The sequence below is a fragment of the Homo sapiens genome, chromosome 17 (assembly GCF_000001405.40).
Source record: "Homo sapiens chromosome 17, GRCh38.p14 Primary Assembly".
Taxonomy (NCBI): domain Eukaryota; kingdom Metazoa; phylum Chordata; class Mammalia; order Primates; family Hominidae; genus Homo; species Homo sapiens.
Genome location: NC_000017.11, coordinates 51152032 through 51176512, shown reverse-complemented (window position 1 = coordinate 51176512; position 24481 = coordinate 51152032). Strand labels below are relative to the sequence as shown.

At 48.2% G+C, this 24481-nt stretch overlaps 3 protein-coding genes across 9 annotated transcripts, besides 9 other annotated features; all 3 read right to left on the bottom strand.

The window, feature by feature from the left end:
• Positions 1 to 4768: 4768 nt before the first annotated feature.
• Positions 4769 to 10977, bottom strand: NME2 (NME/NM23 nucleoside diphosphate kinase 2). Of its 5 annotated transcripts, none has more exons than NM_001018137.3 (5): positions 10832 to 10977; positions 9557 to 9686; positions 8170 to 8271; positions 6464 to 6576; positions 4769 to 5026 (listed from the first exon to the last, which is right to left on the bottom strand). In NM_001018137.3, exons 2-5 carry the CDS (start codon positions 9680 to 9682, stop codon positions 4909 to 4911), a joined length of 459 nt encoding a protein of 152 aa, NP_001018147.1. In that variant the 5' UTR covers positions 9683 to 9686; positions 10832 to 10977; the 3' UTR covers positions 4769 to 4908. The 5 variants fall into 5 exon arrangements, with proteins under 5 accessions (NP_001018147.1, NP_002503.1, NP_001018149.1 ...); NM_002512.4 differs by lacking the exon at positions 10832 to 10977 and adding an exon at positions 10016 to 10102; NM_001018139.2 differs by lacking the exon at positions 10832 to 10977 and adding an exon at positions 9950 to 10012.
• NME1-NME2 (NME1-NME2 readthrough) lies at positions 4769 to 22954 on the bottom strand. Of its 2 annotated transcripts, NR_037149.2 has the most exons (9): positions 22851 to 22954; positions 22069 to 22288; positions 20733 to 20862; positions 16432 to 16533; positions 15241 to 15353; positions 9557 to 9686; positions 8170 to 8271; positions 6464 to 6576; positions 4769 to 5026 (listed from the first exon to the last, which is right to left on the bottom strand). NR_037149.2 is itself a non-coding variant. In NM_001018136.3 (8 exons), exons 2-8 carry the CDS (start codon positions 20856 to 20858, stop codon positions 4909 to 4911), a joined length of 804 nt encoding a protein of 267 aa, NP_001018146.1. In that variant the 5' UTR covers positions 20859 to 20862; positions 22851 to 22954; the 3' UTR covers positions 4769 to 4908. The 2 variants fall into 2 exon arrangements, 1 of the variants encoding a protein (NP_001018146.1); NM_001018136.3 differs by lacking the exon at positions 22069 to 22288.
• Positions 5078 to 5278: a silencer, noted in NCBI's record as "peak2890 fragment used in MPRA reporter construct". NCBI's record gives its function as "represses an SCP1 promoter by STARR-seq MPRAs in K562 erythroleukemia cells {active_cell/tissue: K562}" and the evidence as "EXISTENCE:reporter gene assay evidence [ECO:0000049][PMID:32103011]".
• Positions 9172 to 9371: a silencer, noted in NCBI's record as "silent region_8725". NCBI's record gives its function as "represses an Ori minimal core promoter by ATAC-STARR-seq in GM12878 lymphoblastoid cells {active_cell/tissue: GM12878}" and the evidence as "EXISTENCE:reporter gene assay evidence [ECO:0000049][PMID:35858748]".
• Positions 9541 to 10149: an enhancer, noted in NCBI's record as "H3K27ac hESC enhancer chr17:49243725-49244333 (GRCh37/hg19 assembly coordinates)". NCBI's record gives its function as "activates a minimal SCP1, AML or CMV promoter by ChIP-STARR-seq in naive H9 embryonic stem cells {active_cell/tissue: H9 hESC(naive)}" and the evidence as "EXISTENCE:reporter gene assay evidence [ECO:0000049][PMID:30033119]".
• Positions 9541 to 10261: a biological region, named in NCBI's record as "H3K27ac hESC enhancer GRCh37_chr17:49243725-49244333".
• Positions 9632 to 10261: a silencer, noted in NCBI's record as "silent region_8724". NCBI's record gives its function as "represses an Ori minimal core promoter by ATAC-STARR-seq in GM12878 lymphoblastoid cells {active_cell/tissue: GM12878}" and the evidence as "EXISTENCE:reporter gene assay evidence [ECO:0000049][PMID:35858748]".
• Positions 14345 to 22954, bottom strand: NME1 (NME/NM23 nucleoside diphosphate kinase 1). 2 transcript variants are annotated; one of them, NM_198175.1, is made up of 6 exons: positions 22851 to 22954; positions 22069 to 22288; positions 20733 to 20862; positions 16432 to 16533; positions 15241 to 15353; positions 14424 to 14785 (listed from the first exon to the last, which is right to left on the bottom strand). In NM_198175.1, the coding sequence occupies exons 2-6, from the start codon at positions 22137 to 22139 to the stop codon at positions 14668 to 14670; spliced, it is 534 nt and encodes a 177-aa protein (NP_937818.1). In that variant the 5' UTR covers positions 22140 to 22288; positions 22851 to 22954; the 3' UTR covers positions 14424 to 14667. The 2 variants fall into 2 exon arrangements, with proteins under 2 accessions (NP_000260.1, NP_937818.1); NM_000269.3 differs by lacking the exon at positions 22069 to 22288 and having other exon boundaries at positions 14345 to 14785.
• Positions 20756 to 21287: an enhancer, noted in NCBI's record as "H3K4me1 hESC enhancer chr17:49232587-49233118 (GRCh37/hg19 assembly coordinates)". NCBI's record gives its function as "activates a minimal SCP1, AML or CMV promoter by ChIP-STARR-seq in naive H9 embryonic stem cells {active_cell/tissue: H9 hESC(naive)}" and the evidence as "EXISTENCE:reporter gene assay evidence [ECO:0000049][PMID:30033119]".
• Positions 22442 to 23641: an enhancer, noted in NCBI's record as "CDK7 strongly-dependent group 2 enhancer chr17:49230233-49231432 (GRCh37/hg19 assembly coordinates)". NCBI's record gives its function as "activates an origin of replication core promoter dependent on BRD2, BRD4, P300/CBP, MED14 and CDK7 cofactors, with strong dependence on CDK7, by STARR-seq in HCT116 cells {active_cell/tissue: HCT116}" and the evidence as "EXISTENCE:reporter gene assay evidence [ECO:0000049][PMID:35650434]".
• Positions 22684 to 23103: an enhancer, noted in NCBI's record as "active region_12401". NCBI's record gives its function as "activates an Ori minimal core promoter by ATAC-STARR-seq in GM12878 lymphoblastoid cells {active_cell/tissue: GM12878}" and the evidence as "EXISTENCE:reporter gene assay evidence [ECO:0000049][PMID:35858748]".
• Positions 22887 to 23418: an enhancer, noted in NCBI's record as "NANOG-H3K27ac-H3K4me1 hESC enhancer chr17:49230456-49230987 (GRCh37/hg19 assembly coordinates)". NCBI's record gives its function as "activates a minimal SCP1, AML or CMV promoter by ChIP-STARR-seq in naive and primed H9 embryonic stem cells {active_cell/tissue: H9 hESC(naive and primed)}" and the evidence as "EXISTENCE:reporter gene assay evidence [ECO:0000049][PMID:30033119]".

Here is a 24481-nt window from a genome sequence, read left to right as displayed (position 1 = left end):
TAAGTGGTTTGAACAGCTGCTGTAGTAAGCTGGAATTCCTAGGTGGGTGCTCATTTACTATCATGGTGATATATATATATATATATATATTTTTTTTTTTTTTTTTTTTTTTTTTGAGATGGAGTCTCACCCTGTCACCAGGCTGGAGAGCAGTGGCATGATCTTGGCTCACTGCAGCTTCTGCCTCCTGGGTTCAAGTGATTCTCCTGCCTCAGCCTCCCAAGTAGCTGGGAGTACAGGTGCACACCACCACACCCAGCTAATTTTTGTATTTTTAGTAGAGACGGGGTTTCACCATGTTGGCCAGGATGGTCTTGATCTCTTCACCTCGTGATCTGCCTGCCTCGGCGGCCTCCCAAAGTGCTGGGATTACAGGCATGAGCCACTGCACCCAGCATTTTTTTTTTTTTTTTTTTTTGAAATGGAGTCTCACTTTGTCACCTAGGCTGGAGTACAGTGGCGTGATCTCAGCTGACTGCAACCTCCATCTTCTGGGTTCTAGCAATTCTCCTGCCCCATCCTCCCAAGTAGCTGGGACTACAGGCACACGCCACCACGCCCGGCTAATTTTTGTATTTTTCAGTAGAGATGGGGGTTTCACCATATGGGCCAGGCTGGTCTTGAACTCCTGACCTCGTGATCTGTCCGCCTCAGCCTCCCAAAGTGCTGGGATTACAGGCATGAGCCACCGCGCCCAGCCACATGTATTTCTTTGAACCATTACATGCTTCTCGCGAAACTAGTTATGCCCAGAAACAAGTGTCTCAAGCTCAAGGGATGCTCCTGCCTTGTCCTCCCAAAGTGCTGGGATTACAGGCATGAGCCATTGCATCCAGCTAAGGTAATGCATTTTAAATAATAATGCACTTTTACTATTTTTTTTAAAAAAAAAAAGGTTTATTGAAAGCATGAGATGTTCTGAATGATATGTCATTTTCAGCCAGGCGCAGTGACTCATGCCTGTAATCCTAACACTTTGGAGGGCCAAGGTGGGCAGATTGCTTGAGACCAGCCTGGCCAACATGGTGAAACACCATCTCTACGAAAACTACAAAAATCACCTGGGCGTATTTGCACACACCTGTAGTCCCAGCTTCTTGGGTGGCTGAAGCACGAGAATCACTTGAACCCAGGAGGCAGAGGCTGCAGTAAACTGAGTGAACCACTGCTCTCCAGCCTGGGCGACAGAGCCGAGACTGTCTCTCAAATAAATAAATGAGTTGTTACTTTCACACACCTAGCTGGTGCAGGATTAGGACCTAAACTCTCCAGAGGCAGTACTTTTTTTTTTTTTTGAGACGGAGTTTTGCTCTTGTTGCCCAGGCTGGAGTGCAATGGCGCAATCTCGGCTCACTGCAATGTACACCTCCTGGGTTCAAGTGATTCCCCTGCCTCAGCCTCCCAAGTAGCTGGGATTACAGGCATGCACCATCATGCCCTGCTAATTTTGTATTTTTAGTGGAGACAGGGTTTCACCATATTGGTCAGGCTGGTCTCAACGCCTGACTTCAGGTGATCTGCCTGGCTCGGCCTCCCAAAGTGCTGGGATTACAGTTGTGAGCCACAGCGCCGGCCCAGAGGCAGTACTTTAAATCTCACCATAGTCTACTCTGTATTTCTCATTCAGTTCTAACAAATTGAGTCCTAACATCCAAAGCCTTACTCAGCTTTCACCACTACAGGTTGACGTCACTTACCCTCCAAACTCACTTCCTCACATCACTTGGGAAAGTAAAGACAGTTTAAAAAAAAAAAAAAAAAAAGGCCGGGCAAGGTGGCTTACACCTGTAATCCCAAGCACTTTGGGAGGCCAAGTCGGGTGGATCACAAAGTCAGGAGTTCAAGACCAGCCTGGCCAACATAGTGAAACCCCGTCTCTACTAAAAATGCAAAAAAATTAGCCGGGTGTGGTAGCGGGCACCTGTAATCCCAGCTACTCAGGAGGCGAGGCAGGAGAATCACTTGAACCTGAGAGGCAGAGGTTGCAGTAAGCCGAGATCGCACCACTGCACTCCAGCCCGGGCGACAGTGCGAGACTCCATCTCAAAAAGAAAAAAAAAAGGTAAAGCATAGTGGCCGTGGGCATGGAGTCTGAAGACAGCTATCGGGTTGGAAACTGGCTCCTCCTCCACGGCTAGTTATGTAACTTGGCTCAGTTTCCTCCGTTGTAAAATGGGGATACTGGTGCCAGCCACCCAAGAGTCATGAAGATGCAATGAATGCATGTATATAAAGTTCTTTGAACAGCCCTGGCAGAGTAAGCCCATGCTCTGCTGCTGCTCCTAACCGAGGTACCTCCACCAGCATGCATAAGTGTCACTGGTAGCACAGTGAAATGCAGGTGCTCAGGCCCTGCCCCAGACTCTTAAGATGTTAGTATTAAACTCTGCTTAACTGTGATGAGAATGTAGCATATATAAACATATATGAATTACATTTGAAATTGAGGAATGATTTTTAAAATAAACTTATCAATTGTTGACTAGTAACTAGAATCTTTACACATTTTTTTTGTACTAAAACATTAAAAGTATTTCTTACTTCATTCCAAAGGAAAATTGAGCTGTTTTCTCTCTACTCTGTCACTGACCTCAACACTTCTGACACTAGACATAGTGTCCAGCAGACACCAGCTGGGTGTCTTCAATTCTGATACTGTCTACCTGGAGTCAGATCCCATGGGTTAAGGACTCCGGCCCCCAAGACTGCCCGCATTTCAAATGCCAACTGCAAGCCCCAGGTTATGTCTTTGTTCTTCTGACCAATTGGCCATAAATTAAGGGTTCCCATGACCCCCTTCTTAGATTCAGTTAAGTTGCTAGAGAGTATCATAGAACTCAGAGAACTACTACTTACATGTATTGGTTTAATAAAGGATGTGGCTGGGCACAGTGGTGCGCATCTGTGATCCCAGCAACTCAAGAGGCTGAGTGGGGAGGACTGCTTGAGCCAGTTCAAAGCTTGGCCTGAACAACATAGCGAAACCCCCATCTCTAAAAAAATAAAGTATATAGATGGACCAGATGCATGGGGCAGGGTATGTGGAAAATGGCATGGAGCTACCCTCTCAGAGTGTACCACCCTCCAAGCACCTCAGCAATCTGGAAGCTCCCCAAACCCTATTCTGGGGTTTTATGGAGGCTTCATTACATAGGCATGATTGATGGCATAATTGGCCATTGGTGAGCAATTCAACCTTAGCCCCTCTCCTCTTCTTGGAGGTTGTAGGGAGGCTATCCAGGAGCCCCCACAGCCACCAGTCATATCATTAGCATATAAGAAACCTAACATTTGAGATTACAAGGATTTTAGGAGCTGTGTGCCAGGAACCAATGGCAGAGACCAAATACGTACTTATGTCACAATGTCATTGTCTAATATTTACCATAGCAGTATACATAAAAAGCATAGAATTGGCCGGGCGCAGTGGCTCACGCCTATAATCCCAGCACTTTGGGAAGCCGAGGCAGGTGGATCACAAGGTCAGGAGTTGAAGACCAGCCTGGCCAAGATAGTGAAACCCCACCTCTACTAAAAATACAAAAATTAGCTGGGTGTGGTGGCAGGCGCCTGTAAACCCAGCTACTCGGGATGCTGAGGCAGAGAATTGCTTGAACCCGGGAGGCAGAGATTGCAGCGAGCCAAGATCAGGCCACTGCACTCCAGCCTGGGCGACAGAGCAAGACTCCGTCTAAAAAAAAAAAAAAAGCATAGGATTGTTATATATAGGAGTGACATTTAGCTTTTACCAGTTTTTTATAGGAAATATAAATTTATAATTGATTGCAGGTGATAGTGCTACAAATGATTTGTATTGACAGGTGCTATTAACATTTTACAACTGTTCCAATCCAGCAAAATTAACCTCAAAAGCAGGAAATATGCCTCTAGCAACCACTCACTGCATCTAGCCCAGGAAACCAGCATGAATAAGTATCTCACCCCAGGGAAAAAAATTAAGGGGTAGGGTTGCAGAAATATGTACCAACTATAGGCCAAGCACTAGGTTAGCTGCATATACATAATTTCATTAACCTTGAATTACAGTGGTAGATATGTCCATTTCACAGATGTCTTTAGGCTTCCATTTCCTAATAAGTAACTTGCCCAATTTGTAATCAGCAGATACATAAATCTAGAGTATTTCCCTAGTCTGTATGTTTCACTCCAAGTTTCAACAAATCTTTCTTACAAGTGGCCAGGTGCAGCGGCTCAAACACCTGTAATCCCAACTACTCGGGAGGCTGAGGCACAAGAACCACTTGACCAACTAGGCTTGAGCCCAGAAGGTGGAGGTTTCAGTGAGCTGAGATCACGCCACTGCACTCCAGCCTGGGCGACAAAGCGAGACTCTGTCTCAAATAAATAAATAAATAGGCCGGGCGCGGTGGTTCACACCTGTAATCCCAGCACTTTGGGAGGCCAAGACGGGCAGATCACCTGAGATTGGGAGTACAAGACCAGCCTGACCAACATGGAGAAACCCCGTCTCTATTAAAAATACAAAATTAGCAGGGCGTGGTGGCACATGCCTGTAATCCCAGCTACTCAGGAGGCTGAGACAGGAGAATCGCTTGAACCCGGGAGGCAGAGGTTGTGGTGAGCTGAGATCGCGCCATTGCACTCCAGCCTGGGCAACAAGAGCGAAACTCCGTCAGGATCAGATCATTCTTTGACAAGCAGGATTGAGATGTACATAATGCTACTATAGCCAGAGAACCAAGTCACTTCTTTCAGCTCAGTATCAAATAAGCACAAGGAGACAGTGTCCGGCTTCCAAAAGCTTTATTGGCAAATATGCTCTATAAAAGAATGATCAATCCTGTTGCCTCTAAGTCAATGGAATGAAGAGCTGTGTCCAGGGACACACCACGCCGTGCTGAAGGAGACTGCTGTTGTGTCCACCTCTTATTCATAGACCCAGTCATGAGCACAAGACTTGTAGTCAACCAGTTCTTCAGGCTTAAACCATAGGCTGATTTCTTTTTCAGCACTTTTTACTGAATCACTGCCATGAATGATGTTCCTAAGAAAGAAAACAATTACAAGTTGCCATGTTTTAAAGTGCAAAAGTCTGTTTAATGGGTACCGCAATGGACAGCACTCCAGACTCTTTCAGCCAAATTGCCACTTGAAGCAACAGACCAATTTATACCCCCAAAGCATTTCCTTTTAAAAGCAGCTATACAACTGTAAAAGTGCTTGATTTAAAACATTCCTTGTTTCAACTGTATTATGCTTCCAAGTCTGGCCTCCCCATCAAAAGAGTGCTTGTACCCCAAGATTGCCGAAGACATAAAACACTCCTCCGCAAATTTTGGAAAATACAGTGATACTCAAACCCACTGCAGATCAACATCCCAACTAGATATGATGTGTTCATTATCATAGGCCAGCTCTGCTGCATTTTCTTATAACACTGATTTGCAAAGCCCAACCATGACATAACACTGCTTATTAATAAAAATCCCTTTATCCCACTTCAACCTCACAACTTTGTAAAGGTTTTGAACAGACTGTGTACAGGTGAGGGAATCAAAAGGTTAAGTGACACACCCATGGACAAAGTACTCATGGATGTGGCTAGAATGCTTCCCTTCTCCACACCTAGCATTTTTTGCTGTACTACACAGGAATTACCACTTATGGCTCCCTTGTTGTCTTGCTTAAAATTAAGTAACCTAGGGAAGAAGCTATGTGTGAAAGCTTTTTTTTTTTTTTTTTTGAGACGGAGTTTTGTTCTTGTTGCCCAGGCTGGAGTGCAGTGGCGTGATCTTAGCTCAATGCAGCCTCCACCTCCCAGGTTCAAGCGATTCTTCTGTCTCAGCCTCCTGAGTAGCTAGGATTACAGGCATGCACCACCATGCCCTAATTTTTTACTTTTAGTAGAGACGGGGTTCATGTTGGCCAGGCTCCAGGCTGGTCTCAAACTCCTGACTTCAGGTGATCCACCCATCTCGGCCTCCCAAAGTGCTGGGATTACAGGCGTAAACCCCTGGCCTGAAAGCTTTTATACAATGATATACCCAGCCTGAAAGTTTTTATACAATGATAATCACCAACTAAAAGTTCAGGCCAAGTGCGGTGGCTCATGTCTGTAATCCCAGCACCTTGGGGGGCCGAGGCAGGCGGATCACCTGAGGTCAGGAGTTTGAAACTAGCCTGGCCAACGTGGTGAAACCATCTCTACTAAAAATACAAAAATTAGCCGGGCGTGGCAGTGTGCACCTGTAATCCCAGCTATTTGGGAGGCTGCGGCAGGAGGATCGCTTGAACCCGGGAGGTGAAGGTTACAGTGAGCAGAGATGGCACCACTGCACTCCAGCTAGGCAGAAGGAGACTCCGTCTCAAGAAAAAAAAAAAAAAAAAAGGGCACAGATTCTTCTGAAAGTAGGATACGCCATGACGTCTGCTTTAAATGGTGTTGCATAAAAGTCATCCACCCTCCTGTCCCCGGACTTACCTGCCAACCTGAATGCAGAAGTCCCCACGAATGGTGCCTGGCTTTGAATCTGCTGGATTGGTCTCCCCAAGCATCACTCGGCCTGTCTTCACCACGTTCAGCCCCTCCCAGACCTCGAAAGTGTGAAAATGGATTTATAATCAGACCTGCCACTCAGGACAGGTAGGGTCTAACATTTACTCCTACCTGACACGACACATCAATGAGACCGATCAGTGACATGATTATCAGCTAACCCCAGCAGAGAGTAGGGGCCTATATAAAAACTGCATTCCAAACGTATTGCTAGGATTCAAAGAAAAGTCTGTCCAACTTGGGGACTTCCCAGTTTAGCTGAGACAGAGATAAACAATGTTGCAGAATCCTTATGCAGCCATCAACACAGAAGAACTGGTGAAGAAAGGAGAAAGTGGCCAGTCTGGAATAGGATCAGTGGGAAGGGCATCCCAGAAGACTGCTAGAAGAGGGAAAAGAAAGACTAACATGCTAGGGTAAGGATTCCAGGGAACAGCAGAAGGAAGAAAAAGGTGAACAGGAAATAGATCTACTTTCTCAACAATTTCACTGCCTCCCTATTTTACTCTCTCCAATTTTTTTTTTTTTTTTTTTTGAGACAGAGTCTTGTTCTGTTGCCCAGGCTGGAGTGCAGTGGCTCAGCTCACTGCAACCTCCTCCTCCTCCCAGTTTCAAGCAATTCTCCCACCTCAGCGTCCCGAGTAGCTGGGATTACAGGCACACGCCACCATGCCCAGCTAATTTTTGTATTTTTTTAGTAGAGATGGGGTTTCACCATGTTGGCCAGGCTGGTCTTGAACTCCTGACCTTGTAATGCACCCACCTCGGCCTCCCAAAGTGCTGGGATTACAGGTGTGAGCCACCTCGCCCAGCCACTCTCTCCTCATATTCTCTCCACTCCCAAATGGACATTAGCACCATCCAGAAGAAACTGCTTCTAGTATAGGATTGAGAACTTCTTACATCCTTACCTTTGAATTTTTCATGAGAAAATAGGATAAAGTTTTTTAATCTAGGAAACATTAAGGTCTAAAACACTTGTCAAACAGAAGAAATTGAGTATTATTTTTTTTTGAGATGGAGTCTTGCTGTCGCCCAGGCTGGAGTGCAGTGGCATGATCTCGGCTCACTGCAACCTCCGCCTCCCAAGTTCAAGCGATTCTCGTGCTTCAGCCCCCTGAGTAACTGGGATTAACTCCTGGCCTCAGGTGATCCACCCGCCTCAGCCTTCCAAAGCGCTGGGATTACAGGCATGAGCCACCAAGCCTGGCCCGAAAATTTACCACTCTTGCAGGCAGTGAGATTCTATTTAACCATAGAGACATGTACCTGAAAAAGTCCTTCCCATATCTTTTTTCTTTGTCGAGACAGAGTCTCGCTCTGTTGCCCAGGCTGGAGTGCAGTGGCACGATCTCGGCTCACTGCAACCTCCGCCTCCCAGGTTCAAGCAATTCTCCTACCTCAGCCTCCCAAGTAGCTGAGATTACAGCCGTGCACCACCACACCCAGCTAACATCCTTCCCATTTCTAAGGTCTGATTTGCTTTCTCCTCCCAAGCTCCTAGTTGCTCAGTTAAGTAACTTCAGCAGGTTCCATTCATAAAATAAAATTTAGATTAGCTGAGGGAGATGTCTAACAAAGAACACTGAGCACTTTTTCCTCATTTTCTCTCATTCCCCACGAGCACTCACCATGGCCACAACCGGCCCTGAGTTCATGTACTTCACCAGCCCAGGGAAGAATGGTCGGTCTTTCAGGTCAATGTAGTGCTGCTTCAGGTGTTCTTCAGAGGCCTGGCATTGGAGAGGAGGCACCAGTTAGGAGCTAAGCTGGAAAGACTCCAACCCATCCTCTGAACCTCCCATTAGCAAGTCCGGTTTTATATTCTAGCCCACGTTCCTAAGTGGTGTGTGGAAATATATATATATATACACACATATACACACACATAAATATTTTTTAAATCCCATCCAAACCATGAAACTAATGCCATTTTAACAGAAAGACTGTTCTTTTTTTGGTGTGTTGTTTTGGTTTGTTTTAGGAGACAGGGTCTCACTATCATCACCCAGGCTGGAATGCAGTGGCACAATGATGGCTCACTGCAGCCTCAACTTCCAGGGCTCAAGTGATTTTCCTACCTCAGCCTCCCAAGTAGCTGGAACTACAGATGCACTCAACCATGCCCAATTAATTTTTATTTATTTATTTATTTATTTGTAGAGACAGGGGCTTGCTATGTGGCTCAGGCTGATCTCCAACTCCTGGGCTCCACCCACCTCGGCCTCCCAAATTGCTGGGATTATAGGCGTGAGCCCCGCGCCTGGCCAAGACTGTTCTAATCGTAAAGACACCCTCATACCGTCAATGACATTAGGGGTTTTGTAAGCCTAAAAAGTAGGTGGTTTGAGGATCTAGATTTAGGGAATTAAATTTTGGCTGCAACTGAAGTACATATGTCAGGTCATCTGCCTGGCAGAGGTCATGTTAAACTCCCCTGGGCTACTCACAATGCCCTTTTAAATATTTCAGATAATAACTGAGAACATTCTCTTCACCGATGAGCCTGGTTGAATTTCAGTACTTAGATTCTTACCCGTAAGTGTAGGGATTCAGATCTGTGCCCCAAATTTAATGTGGAAAATACACTCACTACCCTATGCTAAAGGAGGAGCACCGCACTGGAACTCGGAGTTTCAGACTAAAGCAAAGGAGATTCCAAGCCTCCATTCTGTGCCTAGGTGGACCCGAGTGGGCAGGCGCAGGGGGTCTGGGGCCCGGGGTTTTTCCGCTCCCTGCTGCCCCCCTGCGGCGGGTGGGCAGGTAGCGGCCCGCGGGAAGGAACCCAAACCCGGAGGGCGAGTCACGCTACCAGCGCTTCACCTTCCCAAGGGCGTCTGTCCCCACCACCCCGGGAAAGGGTCGGCGGGCCCAAGCCGCCGTGGGCGGGGGCAGAGGGCAAAGGGATTTCGCGGCAGCGAAATGAACTCGGAAAGCAGACGCGGACAAACCGCCGCCGGGAGGGAAAAACACCCGCGAGCCGGCTGCAGCGGGGAAGGGGAGACGGGGGCGAGTTACCCGGAGGAACTTCATGGCCACGAGGCGGAATCCCTTCTGCTCGAAGCGCTTGATGATCTCGCCCACCAGGCCGCGCTGCACGCCGTCCGGCTTGATGGCGATGAAGGTGCGCTCCAGGTTGGCCATGGTCCTGCGGGGCGAGAGGTGCGGTCAGGGCCCGGGCGCAGGCTCTGGCGGGGCCCGCGGAGGCCACGTGGGCGCCGCCGGTCCCTCCTCCCCCACCACGCGCGGCCGCGGGGACACGTGGCTTCCCGGCCGCTTCCGCCCCGCGCAGGGCCGGCGTCCCTCTGCGGAGCCCGAAGGCCCGCGGGGCGCAAGCTGCAAGGGAATCTCCCGCTCCGACGCCGCGCGGGACCTGCGGGAAATCGGGGGGCGCCCACAGACCGGGCCCACCTGCGGCAGCGCAAGCGGAAGAGGGAACGGGAGGAGTCGCCAGGGGATGCGCCCCCACCGCCTTACCGGGAAGCTGGAGGGGCCGGGCGGCGGCGCTGCGCTGGGAGAGCAGAGAGCTGGTGCGACCACCACACCCGGGAGCCGGCGGCGGAGGAGGGGCGCAGGGCGGAGCGCGGGGTGGCCACACCCCGGAGGGCCCAGCCGCCCAACCCGCAGGAACGCCCCACCCGCCCGGCCCGACGCGGCCGGAGAACAGTGTCCACGCCCAGCCGGGGCGCGCCCTCGCCAGGCAGAGATCGAGACGGATCCAGAGACAGGAAGTGATTCCTTCTCCACCTGGACGTCCTATGAGTTCAACTACGCACGTCCCAAATCCCACTCCTCACCTCTCAGTACTTCCCGTGACCCCAAAAGCTCCTACACACACACACACACACACACACACACAGAACCTGCTCCTGTGCTCGAGTTCTCTACCCCGGTCAAGGCCATCTGCTGCTTTCACCATCCGCCCGAGCACCGGCATTAACCTTGACTTGGCTCTCCCTCCCCGTCGTGCACCCACGGTCCTTATCCTCCCTACCTCTGAAATCCAGCCTTCCCTCCCCTCTGCTTGAGCCCTGGTTAAGCCTCGGCCTCCCAAGGGGCCTCGATCTCACCTCTCCGCGCAAACCGGGAGCTTTGCTCAGCACCTCAAACGGCCATCTGGTCCTGCCTCTGCCCTGCCTTGATGACTCCCCCGCCTACAGGATGGCGTTCAGACTCCTTAGCGGGATGCTCTTCTCGCAGGATGCCCTGCTCCCTGGCTGCCGCCTCCCCACCTACATTTCCAGCCCCAATCAGCCGCCCCACTCCCACCCTGACATGGGGATCCCTGCCCACCTGGCACTAAAGTGCGGTCGAGTTTTCCAGTTCACCCTGAGGTGCGCCCCTGGACCCTGAGGAAAGTCTAGACCCTGTCATAGAGATTAGGCCTGTCATCGACCTGTAGACACTTCCTACTTGCAGTGTCCCTGGCAAACAAGCTCCCTTTGGTGATGCCCAGCTTCCCTGGGGCGGTCACAAGCCCCTCCTCTCGGCGCCTGCAGCACTGACTGACAGCCGCACAGCAGTGGTACTGCCCTGAGATGGTGAGAGCCCGCTTGCTTCCCCTCAGGACTCTGAGCTGACCACAGCAATCATGCCATCACCCGAGTGCCCCTAGCACTGCGCTGATCACCTGTCACTGGCCAGATGGATGACAATCTGGCCTCTGTTATACCTTATCGGCTTTCCAAACTTCTAGTTACAGAGCATTAGCCCACCACACATTGACAATGACTGTCATGTGCCCTCATCTGGGGGCACTGTTATTTTTTGGCTTCGATCTGAAACACACTCTCATTTGGATTACCAAATGTCAACTGTGAAAACAGGTCTCGAAATTGCACGGACTTTTCTCTGTCCAGGGGAGAGCTATCTGCTCCCCTTGGTCAGGTCACTGATGGCTACTCAGGGTACAGTCAGGACCACCCCTCTGCTTTCACCTCTTCTTTCCTTCCTGGGAAGACTGTCCTTAACTGGGGAGGCTGTAACCCTCCAGCTTCACTACACACATGTTCATTCCCCCAAGTCCTGGTATGCTCATCTCACGCCCCAAAACAAACAGGCCACGCTTTGTGTAAAAGTATTAATAGAAATTCAGGCTGGATGCGGTAGCTCACGCCTGTAATCCCAGCACTTTGAGAGGCCGAGGCGGGTGGATCACGAGGTCAGGAGTTCGAGACAAGCCTGACCAACGTGGTGAAACCCCGTCCCCAAGAAAAATACAAAAATTAGCCGGGCGTAGTGGCGCATGCCTGTAATCCCAGCTACTCAGGAGGCTGAGGCAGGAGAATCGCTTGAACCCCGGAAGCAGAGGTTGCAGTGAGCTGAGATCGTGCCACTGCACTCCAGCCTGGGCAACAGATTGAGATTCCATCTCAAAAATTAAAAAAAAAAAAAAAGGGGGCCAGGTGCGGTGGCTCACACCTGTAATCCCAGCACTTTGGGAGGCCAAGGCAGGCAGATCACGAGGTCAGGAGATCGAGACCATCCTGGCTAACACAGTGAAACCCAATGTCTACTAAAAATACAAAAAAATTAGCTGGGCATGGTGGCGGGCACCTGTAGTCCCAGCTACTCAGGAGGCTGAGGCAGGAGAATGGCGTGAACCCGGGAGGCAGAGCTTGCAGTGAGCCGAGATTGCACCACTGCATTCCCGCCTGGGTGACAGAGCAAGACTCTGTCTCAAAAAAAAAAAAAAAAAAAAAAACTAAATTAAAAAAAAAAATTCATCTCGCCATCATCTGTCTGTAAAGGCAGCCCACCCCAACTACCCTCTTCTCCCCCATCCTGAGAAGTCTCTTCCCCTCTATTGCCTCTACCGAAGCCAGATGAAAAGGAAAGATAAGAAAAACCCTCAGGTGGCCAGTCGCAGTGGCTCACACCTGTAATCCCAGCACTTTGGGAGCCTGAGGCAGGTGGATCATCTGAGGTGAGAAGTTCGAGACCAGCCTGGCCAACATGGTGAAAACCTGTCTCTACTAAAAATACAAAAAATAGCCGGGAGTGGTGGCACACACCTGTAATCCCAGCTACTCAGGAGGCTGAGACAGGAGAATCGCTTGAACCCGGGAGGCGGAGGTTGCAGTTAGCCGAGATCGCACCATTATACTCCAGCCTGGGCGACAAGAGCGAGACTTTGTCTCAAAAAAAAAAGGAAAAAGAAAAAAGAAAAACCCTCAGGGTGGGCGCAGTGGCTCACGCCTATAATCTCAGCACTTTGGGAGGCCCAGGCAGGCAGATCGCTTGAGCCCAGCAGTTGGAGACCAGCCTGGGAAACATGATGAAACCCCATCTCTACAGAAAATACAAAAATTAGTTGGGCGTGGTGGCACGTGCCTGTAGCCCCAGTTACTCAGGAGGCTAAGATAGGAGATCACTTGGGCCCAGAGAGGTCGAGGCTGCAGTGAGCTGCTGTCATCACACCACTGCACTCCATCCTAGGCGACAGAGCAAGACCCTATCTCAAAAGCAAAAAAAAAAATTCTAATTTCTCTTTCAGCTAGATGCAGCCATATGACTAAGTTCTAGCCAGTGGGATGTGAGAGGAAGTGAAGGTTGTAATTCAGAGTTGTGTCTTTAAAAGGGTTACTTCTTCCACTTTCCTTCCCAACTTGCAGGAAGGGACATGGGGTGGTAATCCAAGTAGGACTGATTAGAAGGAACCAGGTGTGTGTAGACCACCTTAAAGATCAGAGCCTTACCACTATCACCACCCCTACTGAGCAGCTAGGGCTTTTTCTTTTTTGAAGACAGGTCTCACTCTGTCACCCGGGCTGAAGTGCAGAGGCGGGATCACAGCTCACTGCTCCAACCTCCGGGGCTCAAGCAATCCTCCTACCTCAGCCTCCTGAGTAGCTAGGACTACAGGAATGTGCCACCACACCCGACTAATTTTTAATGTTTGGCAGAGATGAGGTCTCACTCTGTTCCCCAGGCTGGTCTCAAACTCCTGGGCTCAAGCAATCCTCTTGCCTTGGCCTCCCAAAGTGCTGGGATTATAGGCATGAGCCACTGCAACTGACCACACTTGAACTTTCAAATGAAAGAGAAGTACATTTCTATCTTGTCTCCATTAAAGCAACCAAATCAATACCTAACAAATCAAAGCTACTTACAAGACCTCCTGCTTCATTTGAGGCCATCCCAGGGACTCAGGCTTACTATCTACCTAGCTTTTCTGATTTTTGGAGGAATTACAACTTCCCACACTCCCCCATTCACTGAATCCCCAAGAGCTTCTCAAGAACAGGATGGATATGTTTTTATTTAAGAGATGTCTCACTCTGTCACCCAGGCTGAAGGACAGTAGCATGATCATGGTTCACTGCAGCCTTGGACTCCTGGGCACAATCCTCCTGCCTATGCCTTCCCAATAGCTAGGACTAGAGGTGCACAGCACCAGAGCTAATTTTTTTTTTTTTTTTTTGTAAAGACAGCGTCTTGCTATGTTGCCCACCCTGGACTTGAACTTCTGGCCTCTAGCGATTCTCCTCCTCAGCCTCCTGAATAGCTGGGATTAAAGGCATGAGCCATCGTACCCAGCCTAATTTTTCTTTTTTTTTTTTTAGTGAGACAGGGTCTTGCTATGTTACCCAGGCTGGTCTCCCATCTCAGCCTCCCAAGTAGCTGGTATCACAAGCACAAGCCAGCACACCCAGCCCTCATGTTTTCTTTCATTTCTGATGAATCCTCTGCACCTAGTCCAGTCTTGGCCACGTAGCACATGCTCCATAGATGCCTGTTGAATAGCTCAGTGCCAAGAGTGGAAGGGATGCGGGGGTTAAGAAGGGCAGGCAAAGAATGCCTGTGTGTATGTGAGACCTCAAAATAAATCATTTTTATAGTATTTACACTCTCTATTAGGTCAGGTTATTCAGTGTACATGAAAAGAAGGAAAAAAAAGCAATGCAACAATATGAAGTAACCAACTCAATGAATCCTATGCTGGGAGGAAGCATTTTAATCAGATGGTCGGGGATGGTAACACTGTACAGGGAGAACTCACAGCTCCAAGAGCTTCCCTCCAAATTATGATGAAGTTCCTGTAAATAACTAGATTTCCTACAGCCTGGTCCTCTGCCCATGGGAAGGAGGGGAAATGGATGTGAAAAGCAATGTGGTCTGCCCTCCTGTCATTCATAGATCCAGTTCTGAGCACAGCTCGTGTAATCTACCAGTTCCTCAGGGTGAAACCACAAGCCGATCTCCTTCTCTGCACTCTCCACAGAATCACTGCCATGTATAATGTTCCTGGGTGGAGAAAGAGATAGTCACATGACCAAGACCAGAAGGATTAAAATGCGCCCATTGCCAGAAATCTACAGCCACAGCAGCATAAAAGCTGAAGCTCCATGGACATTAGACCATGTTAAAAGAAAAAGCCTACAATGGCCATTCACTTAAGGCTGAAAAATGCCCTCCCCACATCCAGCCCTCCCGGCCACGCTGGTGCAAACAGTGAGAGCCTTCAGGAAAGACTGGCCAGCAAAGTGTGTTGTACCAGGTTCTACACTTCGTGTAACAGAGGTACGACTAAGTGATGTTAACAACCAAAGCCAAACGCCAACTTAAGAGGGAGGAAAACAATAAACTCCGATAAAATCAACCTGCATATGGTATCATGTCTACCTCCAGCCTCGGAAACCCAAATCCTTGTGGCAACTAAATCAGATTTTGGAAAAGGGGGAAAAATACCAAAATCTCACCTGCCAACTTGTATGCAGAAGTCTCCACGGATGGTCCCAGGCTTGGAGTCTGCAGGGTTGGTCTCCCCGAGCATGACTCGGCCCGTCTTCACCACATTCAGCCCCTCCCAGACCTCCAAGGACAGAAGAAGATATGGTCAAAGAAGAAAACCAATCACAGCAGAAAATCTGGCAACTATTAATTCAAAAAAGGAAAAATAAAAAGGCCCCTTAAGATTATATTCATTCACTGAACAAATGTTTATAGAGTATATCCACTTATTCCAGCACTGAGGATCCTGATCTCCCTGCCCTCATGCTTGCCTTTCTACAATGTATTCTCCATACAGCAACCAGAGCAGCCTCCTTAAAATGCCAAGTGTGGGCAGGGCGCAGTGGCTCACGCCTGTAATCCCAGCCCTTTGGGAGGCTGAGGGGAGTGGATCACGAGGTCAGGAGATCGAGACCATCCTGGCTAACATGGTGAAACCCTGTCTCTACTAAAAATACGAAAAGATTAGCTGGGCGTGGTGGCGGGCGCCTGTAGTCCCAGCTACTCAGGAGGCTAAGGCAGGAGAATGGCGTGAACCCGGGAGGTGGAGCTTGCGGTGAGACGAGATGGCACCACTGCACTCCAGCCTGGGCAACAGAGCAAGACTCCGTCTCAAAAAAAAAAAAAAAAAGAAATGCCAAGTGTGAAGTGTCCCATAGCTTCCCAGCACTCAGGAAGTATATGGTCAACACACCCCTAAGAGAGAAGGCCCCTGCCCATGCCTCTGAACTCTTCACCTCCCAACTTCCCTCCCACCCATCAGGCTTCGGGCATTTCAACTCTCCTCCCGTACTTCAAAAAGCCAAGCTCATTCCCACCCTGGGACCTTTGCACATGCTGTTTGCTTGGCTGGAAATGTTTTTCACTGTGATTCTGTACATGGCTGGCTGCTTCTTGTCATTCAGATCGCTGCTTCTTGTCATTCAGATCACAGCTTAAAAATTGCGTTCTTTGATCACCCAATCTAAAGTGATCATTTGCTACTCCTATTCATTTCTGGGCATATTTCATTTCTGAAGCCTATCACTAACCATTAGCTGGTATATGAAAACAGGTATCTATTTGGTCTCATTCATGGCTGTATCCCCAGTGTCTAGAAGAGAGCCTAGCACAGATGACAAGCAATGCATACTTGGAGTATCCCACACAGGCACACTCACCATGGCAACTACCGGCCCTGAGTGCATGTATTTCACCAGGCCGGCAAAGAATGGACGGTCCTTCAGGTCAACGTAGTGTTCCTTGAGAAGATCTTCGGAAGCCTATTCAACAGGACAGAGAATGAGAATAACCCCCAAACCATCTAAGGACATATAATCCATTTAATTTCCCCTCATCCACCCTGCTATGTAAAACATGAGCGGTTGGGCTCACTGATTCTGTTATAACCCAATTCATTCTCCACACTGGAAGGGAGCAGTGACAGGACTAAATGTACTTCTCCAATTTTATATCAGTTGTCTCCCTATTGGCACTGACTGATAATAAAACCACAGAACATTAAAATTAAATCCAGCTATCTCATTTAAAAAAAAATCAAACTCCTGGGCTCAAGTGATCCTCCTGCCTCAGACTCCCGAGTAGGTAGGACTGTAGACACACACTACCAGACTTGGCTAATTTTATTTATTTATTTATTTATTTTGAGACAGAGTCTCCCTCTGTCACCCAGGCTGGAGTGCAGTGGCGTGATCCTGACTTACTGCAACCTCCACCTCCTGGGTTCAAGTGATTCTCCTGCCTCAGCCTCCCAAGTAGCTGGGATTACAGGTGGCGGCCATCATGCCTGGCCAATTTTTGTATTTTTAGTAGAAACAGGGTTTCGCCATGTTGGCCAGGCTGGTCTCAGGTGACCGCAGGTGATCTGCCTGCCTTGGCCTCCCAAAGGGCCGGGACTACGGGCGTAAGCCACCGCGCCCAGCCATACCTGGCTAATTTTAAAAAATTATTTGTAGAGATAGGGTCTCACTATGTTGCCCAGGCTGGTCTCAAACTCCTGGACTCAAGTGATCCTCCAGCCTCCGCCTCCCAAAGTGCTGGGCTTACAGGCGTGACCCACCATGCCTGGCCCTCAACTATCTCATTTTAGACAGGAAAATCAACAATACAATAAATTTCCATTCCCAGAGCAAACCCCAAATAAAATGTTAGAAGGACACCAGGAAGCAAGTCTTGGCATTTAATGAGCAGCAAACTAAACCAGGCCATTACCCAGGGATGCTTCACGTTTATTCAGAGGATAAAAGCCCAGCAGTGATGACCATGTGATTACCAAAGGTATCTGCAAATCACCCAAAAGTGCATGACATCTAGTAATAAATAATTTTGCTGAAAAATGAATTAGAACCTCTCATACTGCAAGGCTAATATGTGGGAACGAATCAAGTTAGCTAGAGAACAAACCATCTGCTTAGCAGTTTCAACTCAGTTTGGCTGTGTTCTCTCTTGTACTGCATATACGCTTGTTAAAATCTAACAGGGTCCCATGGTTTTTCCAGCTCTGTGGTACTGCACTGTATGACGCATATCACACACATCAGAGACACACACAGATGTGGAGACTGGCTGCCCAGAAGCCCCATCATTCAGCCACCAGTTATCATCACTTGCCAAAGTAAAATTACATGGCCATATAATCACTCCGTGGTAGGGATCCAACCCTCGCCCTGTCCTTTCCTATCCAAATGGAAGACTTTTGTTGTGGAAGTCTAACAGACCCTGAGGTGACCTTCCCTTATCAGAATACTTTTTTAATTCTATTAATTGGTTCCAATTATCTTTTTGTTGGTTTTGTTGTTTGTTTTGAGACAGGGTCTTTCTGTCACCCAGGCTGGAGTGCAATGGCATGATCATAGCTCACTGCGGCCTCAAACTCCCAGGCTCAAGCAATCCTCTTGCCTCAGATTCTCAGTAGCTAGGACTACAGGTGTGCACCACTACACCCGGCTAATTATCTTTTTTTGAGACAGGGTCTTGCTCTGTTACCCAGGCTGGAGTGCAGTGGCTCGATCTCCGCTCACTGCAACCTCCACCTCCCGAGTTCAAGCCATCCTCTCGCCTCAGCCTCCCTGGTAGCTGGGACTACAGGCATGCGCCATCACACCCAGCTAAATTTTGTATTTTTAGTAGAGACGGGGTTTCACCACGTTGGCCAGGCTGGTCTCCATCTCCTGACCTCAGATGATCCACCCACCTTGACCTCCCAAAATGCTGGGATTACAGGTGTGAGCCACCACGCCAGGCCCTAACTGATTATCTTTAGTCTGCAAAACAGATCACGGGCTTTTTTTAAGGGCTTGGGGGTTGGGAACCTCAAGTTCTCCCTTGCTTCCTGCCTCCACACCAGATTTAAATGCCCCTTTAGAGTCATGGCAGCTATCCTTCCGTCCATTCTTCACCAAACCCATATATCCTTAATAGGAAATTCAATGTAAAGGAGAAAGTATCTGCACTCAGGGGTCAGAGAGACTCAAGTTAAAATTCCAGTGGCATCACTGTATGCTATCAGGCACATCACTGAACCTCTCCAAGCCTTAGGTTGCTCATCACTAACAACCACGAGAACAGGAGTAAGTACTTCTCAAGGCTGGCATGAAGACTAAATCAGAAAACATATGTGCCCAGCATATGGTAAATGCCTGATCAACAACACATCCATCTCATGTTACCTTCTGCTGTGATCTGAATGTGTCCCCCAAAGTTCGTATGTTGGAAATTTAATCCTCGATGCAACAATGTTGGGAGGTGAGGCCTAATGGGAGGTGTTTAGGTCATGAGGGCTTCACCCTCATGAACAGATTAATGTCTTATCTCAGGAGTGGGTTTGTTATAAAATCAACATCAGCCCCCTCTTGCTCTCTCTCACTCTTGCACTCTCTTGCTATTCCATTCTGTCATGGGATGATACAGCAAGAAAACCTTCATTAGATGCCAGCTCCTTGACCTTGGACACCATATTCTCCTCTCAGCATGAACATCAGTCTACCCTCTTTTACATTAAAGCAGTTTTTCTTTTCTTTTTTTTCTTTTTTTTTGGAGACGGAGCCTCCCAAAGTGCTGGGATGACAGGCGAGTCACTGTGCCAGCCCTAAAGCAGTTTTTCTAAAATATCACATAGGAAGTAAATTGCAAGTCAAACTAAATTTTAAAATGCACTAGAAGGGTCCAAAATTGATTCCCTTTTAGAAAACATACTATCCCCTATTTGATTTGAGAATTGGAATTCTTTTTTTTTTTTTGAGACAGAGTCTCCCTCCCTCTGTTGCCCAGGCTGCAGTGTGGTGCAATATCGGCTCACTGAAACCTCCGCCTCCTGGGTTCAAAAGCAATTCTTTTTTTTTTTTTTTTTTGGAGATGGAGTTTTGCTCTTGTTGCACAGGCTGGAGTGCAATGATGCGATCTCGGTCACTGCAACCTCCACCTCCCCAGTTCAAGCGATTCTCCTGTCTCAGCCTCCCGAGTAGCTGGGATTACAGGCGCATGCCACCACGCCTGGCTAATTTTTGTATTTTTAGTAGAGACGGGGTTTCATCATATTGGTCAGGCTGTCTCGAACTCCTGACCTCAGGTGATCCGCCCGCCTCAGCCTCCCAAAATGCTAGGATTACAGGTATGAGCCACCGCACCTGGCTGGTTCAAGCAATTCTTATGTCTCAGCCTGCCGAATAGCTGGGATTACAGGCACCCACCCTGATGCCCAGCTAATTTTTGTATTTTTAGTAGAGACGGGGTTTCACAATGTTGGCCAGGCTGGTCTTGAACTCCTGACCTCAAGTGACCAGCCTGCCTTGGCTTCCCAAAGTGCTGGGATTACAGGTATGAGCCACTATGCCTCACCCAGCCGAGAATTTGGATTATCTCTAGAATTTGTTTGAAGAAGGGTTATTGGTCAATCAATCCTTTGCATTTATCAAAAGATTGCTTTGTAAGTAGCTTGCAGGTACATCTGCTCTCTGCTGTTTCTGAAGAACCTCCCCAAAACCAAAACCATAGTTTTCCTCCACCAGCTCCTATGATACCTAATATATGCTAAACAATAAGCATTTATTAGTGTCTAGTAATTGATGATGGAAAGACTTTCTTGCTAAAAAACAACCTGTCTCAAAGGGGGAAAAAAATCTCTCTAAAATTATCTGCTCAGGAAGCTCAAGACCAAGAACTCAAACATGCTCAGCTCTCAGTCAGAAATTACAGAGATGCAGTCATATGTGGAACTCTGCACTGCTTTTCCCGTAGCAATGCACCTCCTATTACAGAGACTATTTTGGAAAATCCTAAATAACTTGGTTTGTTCCAAGATGTAGCCAAACGCTAGGGCACTGAGGAGTTTCCAGGTCTCAAGACACTTGTGTTCACTCTACCGTGGAGAACTTTAAATAAGAAAGACGGGGAGAAACAGGTTAATCACAGTGTTCTCCTATACTATGAAGGAATCAAAATGGGAACAATGAAGTCCACTTACTTGCATGAATTTCAGACCAACAAGGCGGAATCCTTTCTGCTCAAAACGCTTGATAATCTCTCCCACAAGACCCCGCTGGACCCCATCTGGTTTGATCGCAATGAAGGTACGCTCACAGTTGGCCATGGTTCTGGGGATAGGCAGGTAGAGGAATGAAACAGCAGTGAATCACTTGCCTACAGCGTCATCCGTCTCAAGCGGATTATCCCATAAAGCTGGTTTAAATCTGTCAGGTCAGCTCCAGGTCTCCCTCTGGTAAAAACCCAATTCCTCCCCAGTCCCCTGATCTATGAACTAATATGTCAATGTGGGAAAGGATCCAAAAGCAAGGACTATAATTTCTATCCCATTTGATTTATTTTATTTTCATTTGTTTTGGTTTTTGTGGGGTTTTTTTAGAGATGGGGTTTCGCTATGTTGCCCACGCTGGTCTCGAACTCTTGTCCTCAAGTGATCTGCCCACCTCAGCCTACCAAAGTGCTGGGATTATGGCCATGAGCCACCACACCCAGCCCCATTTGATTTTTTTTTTTTTTTTTGGTATGGAGTCTTGCTCTTTCGCCCAGGATGGAGTGCAGTGGTGCGACCTTGGCTCACTGCAACCTCCACTTCCCAGGCAAGCAATTCTCCTACCTCAACCTCCTAAATAGCTGGGACTACAGGTGCGTGCCACCACACCCAGCTAATTTCTGTATTTTTTTTTACTAGAGATGGGGTTTCACCATGTTGGCCAGGCTGGTCTCCAACTCCTGACCTCAAGTAATCTGCCCACCTCAGCCTCCCAAAGTGCTGGGATTAAAGGCGTGAGCCCCATGAGCCTGGCCACCATTTGATTTAATAAGCTTCTTTTAAACATCTACTGTGTACCAAACACTGCGGTGGAACTAGGATACAGGATGTTAAAAACAAGGCACTATCTTTCTCAATAATCAAGCTTGGGAGAAACTACACTGATGAAAAGTTTTACTAATGTGAAAGTGATGTCCGGTACAAAGCAGTAAGAAATAATAGTTTGACTTAATGCCACAGCCATAGCATTAGGGGTTTTAGAGAATATATCTTTACAACCCCCTTCATTTTACAAATGAGGAAACAGGACCACAGCACCAGAATGAAGGCCAAAACCCAGCATTCCCAACCCATTAATCCATTCTTGTAATGTTATGCTACACTTTACAATGCAAAGAATATTTTGACTAGCCAATAAACGGTGGGGTGTGGGAGAACTACAGACATTAGGAATATCTGATACGGGACATCATACTGAAAGGAAGCCTAGAGAGTAACTATTCCGTCCAGATCCCTCATTTTACAGAAGACTGCGCTCATGACCTACCCTGTATCACAGCTTGAGATAGGAGGCCCCTCGCCTTGAAAGACGATCCCTAAAGTAGACAGTAGCACCATCTCTTGGCCCCATCTTCCTGTCCTTTAGTTAACCTCTTCTTACAGCATCTTAGCACTGTAGTCCAATTTTCTGTTTGTGTGTCTGCCTCCCCTGCACACCAGGCTGACTTAGTCCTGTGTAGAGACTCTATGGTACCTAGCCACAGGGCCTAGCAGTCAATAGGAGCAAAGAAAATCATTTATCACCATTCTGCAACTTCCAAAAAAAAAAAAAGAGAGAGAGACAAAGCCCAAAGACTGCGGAGAATCGCACGATGGGGTGCGGGGCAAGCATAAATTGTCCAGGAGAAAACAGGACTAAAGCGCCAGAAATACACCCTAAAAATGTCCCTCCACATCGGTCCCGGTGACACAACAGTAAGCACTCAGTGCTTGCTGAATGAATGACACACACACCCGTCATTTATTCAGCAAGCACTTACAGAGCGCCAACTCCGTGCCCGGCACTGCTCTCGACAGACACAAATAAGGCACAGCCCTGTCGTCGCGGCCTGACGAGAAAGGCGGCCACCGACAAAGGCGAGTCCACGTGGCGTGGGACGTGCGCCGACCGGTCTGCACTTGTCCACAGGCGCTCCCTGCCCCTCCTCCCATCCGATCCTCCTCGCCGCCTCTTAGAGCTGAACTCATCTCTTCACTAACTCCTCACCTAACCCACTCCCGCGACTACACTCCTTTCTTTTTCCTCTCAGGATCCCGAACACCTCTTACCCTTCCAGCTGCTTAGGTTTGAACTCCGGCTGCAGCCGCCAGCACCCGAAACGCGCCCGGGACCCACGTGGTTCGCAGCACTTGCACGCACGGAACGCTTCTGCGCAGATCCGCTGCCGGAGAGCCCATTTTGCAGAACACCGCTCGCCCACGCTTCCTCTTGGGAGTAGGCAGTCATTCTAGGGAACAACTTTCTGCAGTTTAACTTCCGGCGCTAGCTTTTTCAGACCTTTCCGGTTAGCTGCTTGCTTTCTTCTCTCCACCCCCGGGTTCTCTGACTCACTTCCTTCGTTCGCGAGCAAATTGGCTTCCCGAGAGGTGGCGCTCACACGTTGCGTGAAGTCCAAAGAGTGCCTGACCTAGAAGTAGACTTTTCGCTCCCGCTTTGTGTTTATTCACCTTTTCTAGCCTGTCAAGCAAAAAATTTTGAGTACCTACTACGTGGACGCATTATTCTAGGCCCTAGGGATAAAACAGTATGCTCTCTTGGAGCTTCTGGGAGGGATGGGAGTATAGGAAAACAAGAAGCAAATAAGCAAATTAATATGTAATAGATCGCATTTTGTAAGTGCTGTGAAGAAAAGGCCAGAGAAATCTCTGAGTAAGTGATAATAGAATAGACCTGCATGAAGTGAGGGAGCCAGCCCAGTGATTCTTCGAGAGCCAAGTATTACGGTGGACATCGAGTGGTGGAAAATGCCGTTAGAATAGAGCCAAATCTTATGTTGTGAGATGCTAATACAGATTTTGCACAAGGCATGACATCATCACTAACAAAAAAACATTCCCACTGCTCTAAGGGGAAATGAACGGGGGAAAGGTACAAAAATGGAATCAGGAGCCGTTTCAACAAATGATGCTGGAGCAATTGGACGAATATAGACCCAAAGAACCTCAACCTAAACCTCTCACCTTATACAAAATTTACTCAAAATGAATCATAGATTTAAATGTAAAACAATAAATCACTTATGGGGAAAAAAAAAGTTAAAAAAAATCCTCAGGACCTAGGGCCAGGCAAATAGTTTTTAGACGACACCAAAAGACCAATCTATACAGGGAAAAAGTTGATAAATTGGAACTTACTGAAATTTAAAACTTTTGGCCGAGCGCGGTGGCTCACGCCTGTAATCCCAGCACGCTGGAAAGCAGCGGCGGGAGGATCACTTGAGCTCAGGAATTCGAGACCAGCCCGGGCAACATAGTGAAACCCCGTCTCTACTAAACATACAAAAATGAGCCGGGCGTGGTTGCAGGCGCCTGTAGTCCCAGCTACTCGGGAGGCTGAGGCAGGAGAATCGCTTGAACCCGGGAGGCAGAGGTTGCAGTGAGCCGAGATTGCGCCAGGGCACTCCAGCCTGGGTGACAGAGCGAGACTCGGTCTCAAAAAAATAAAAAATAAATAAAATAAATAAGTAAAATTTCATTATTCTCCTGTTTTCTTTTTTTTCTTTTTGAGACCGAGTATCGCTTTGGCGCCCAGGCCGGAGCGCAGTTGCACGATGTCGGTTCATTGCAAACTCCGCCATCCGGGTTCAAGCGATTCTCGTGACTCAGCTTCCCGCGTAGCTGGGACTACAGGCGTCTGCCACCACGCCCGGTATTTTCTTTTTCTTTTTTTTTTTTTTTTT

Coding starts and splice junctions, on each gene's coding strand:
- NME2 (NM_001018137.3), bottom strand. CDS start 9,682: ATGGCCAACCTGGAGCGCACCTTCATCGCCATCAAGCCGGACGGCGTG. Junction 8,272..9,556: donor TGGCCATGAAGTTCCTCCGG/GTAACTCGCCCC, acceptor CTCCAATGCCAG/GCCTCTGAAGAACACCTGAA. Junction 5,027..6,463: donor TTCTGCATTCAGGTTGGCAG/GTAAGTCCGGGG, acceptor TTTCTTTCTTAG/GAACATCATTCATGGCAGTG.
- NME1 (NM_198175.1), bottom strand. CDS start 22,139: ATGGTGCTACTGTCTACTTTAGGGATCGTCTTTCAAGGCGAGGGGCCT. Junction 15,354..16,431: donor CAGGGCCGGTAGTTGCCATG/GTGAGTGTGCCT, acceptor CTGTCCTTGGAG/GTCTGGGAGGGGCTGAATGT. Junction 14,786..15,240: donor TTCTGCATACAAGTTGGCAG/GTGAGATTTTGG, acceptor TTCTCCACCCAG/GAACATTATACATGGCAGTG.
- NME1-NME2 (NM_001018136.3), bottom strand. CDS start 20,858: ATGGCCAACTGTGAGCGTACCTTCATTGCGATCAAACCAGATGGGGTC. Junction 8,272..9,556: donor TGGCCATGAAGTTCCTCCGG/GTAACTCGCCCC, acceptor CTCCAATGCCAG/GCCTCTGAAGAACACCTGAA. Junction 5,027..6,463: donor TTCTGCATTCAGGTTGGCAG/GTAAGTCCGGGG, acceptor TTTCTTTCTTAG/GAACATCATTCATGGCAGTG.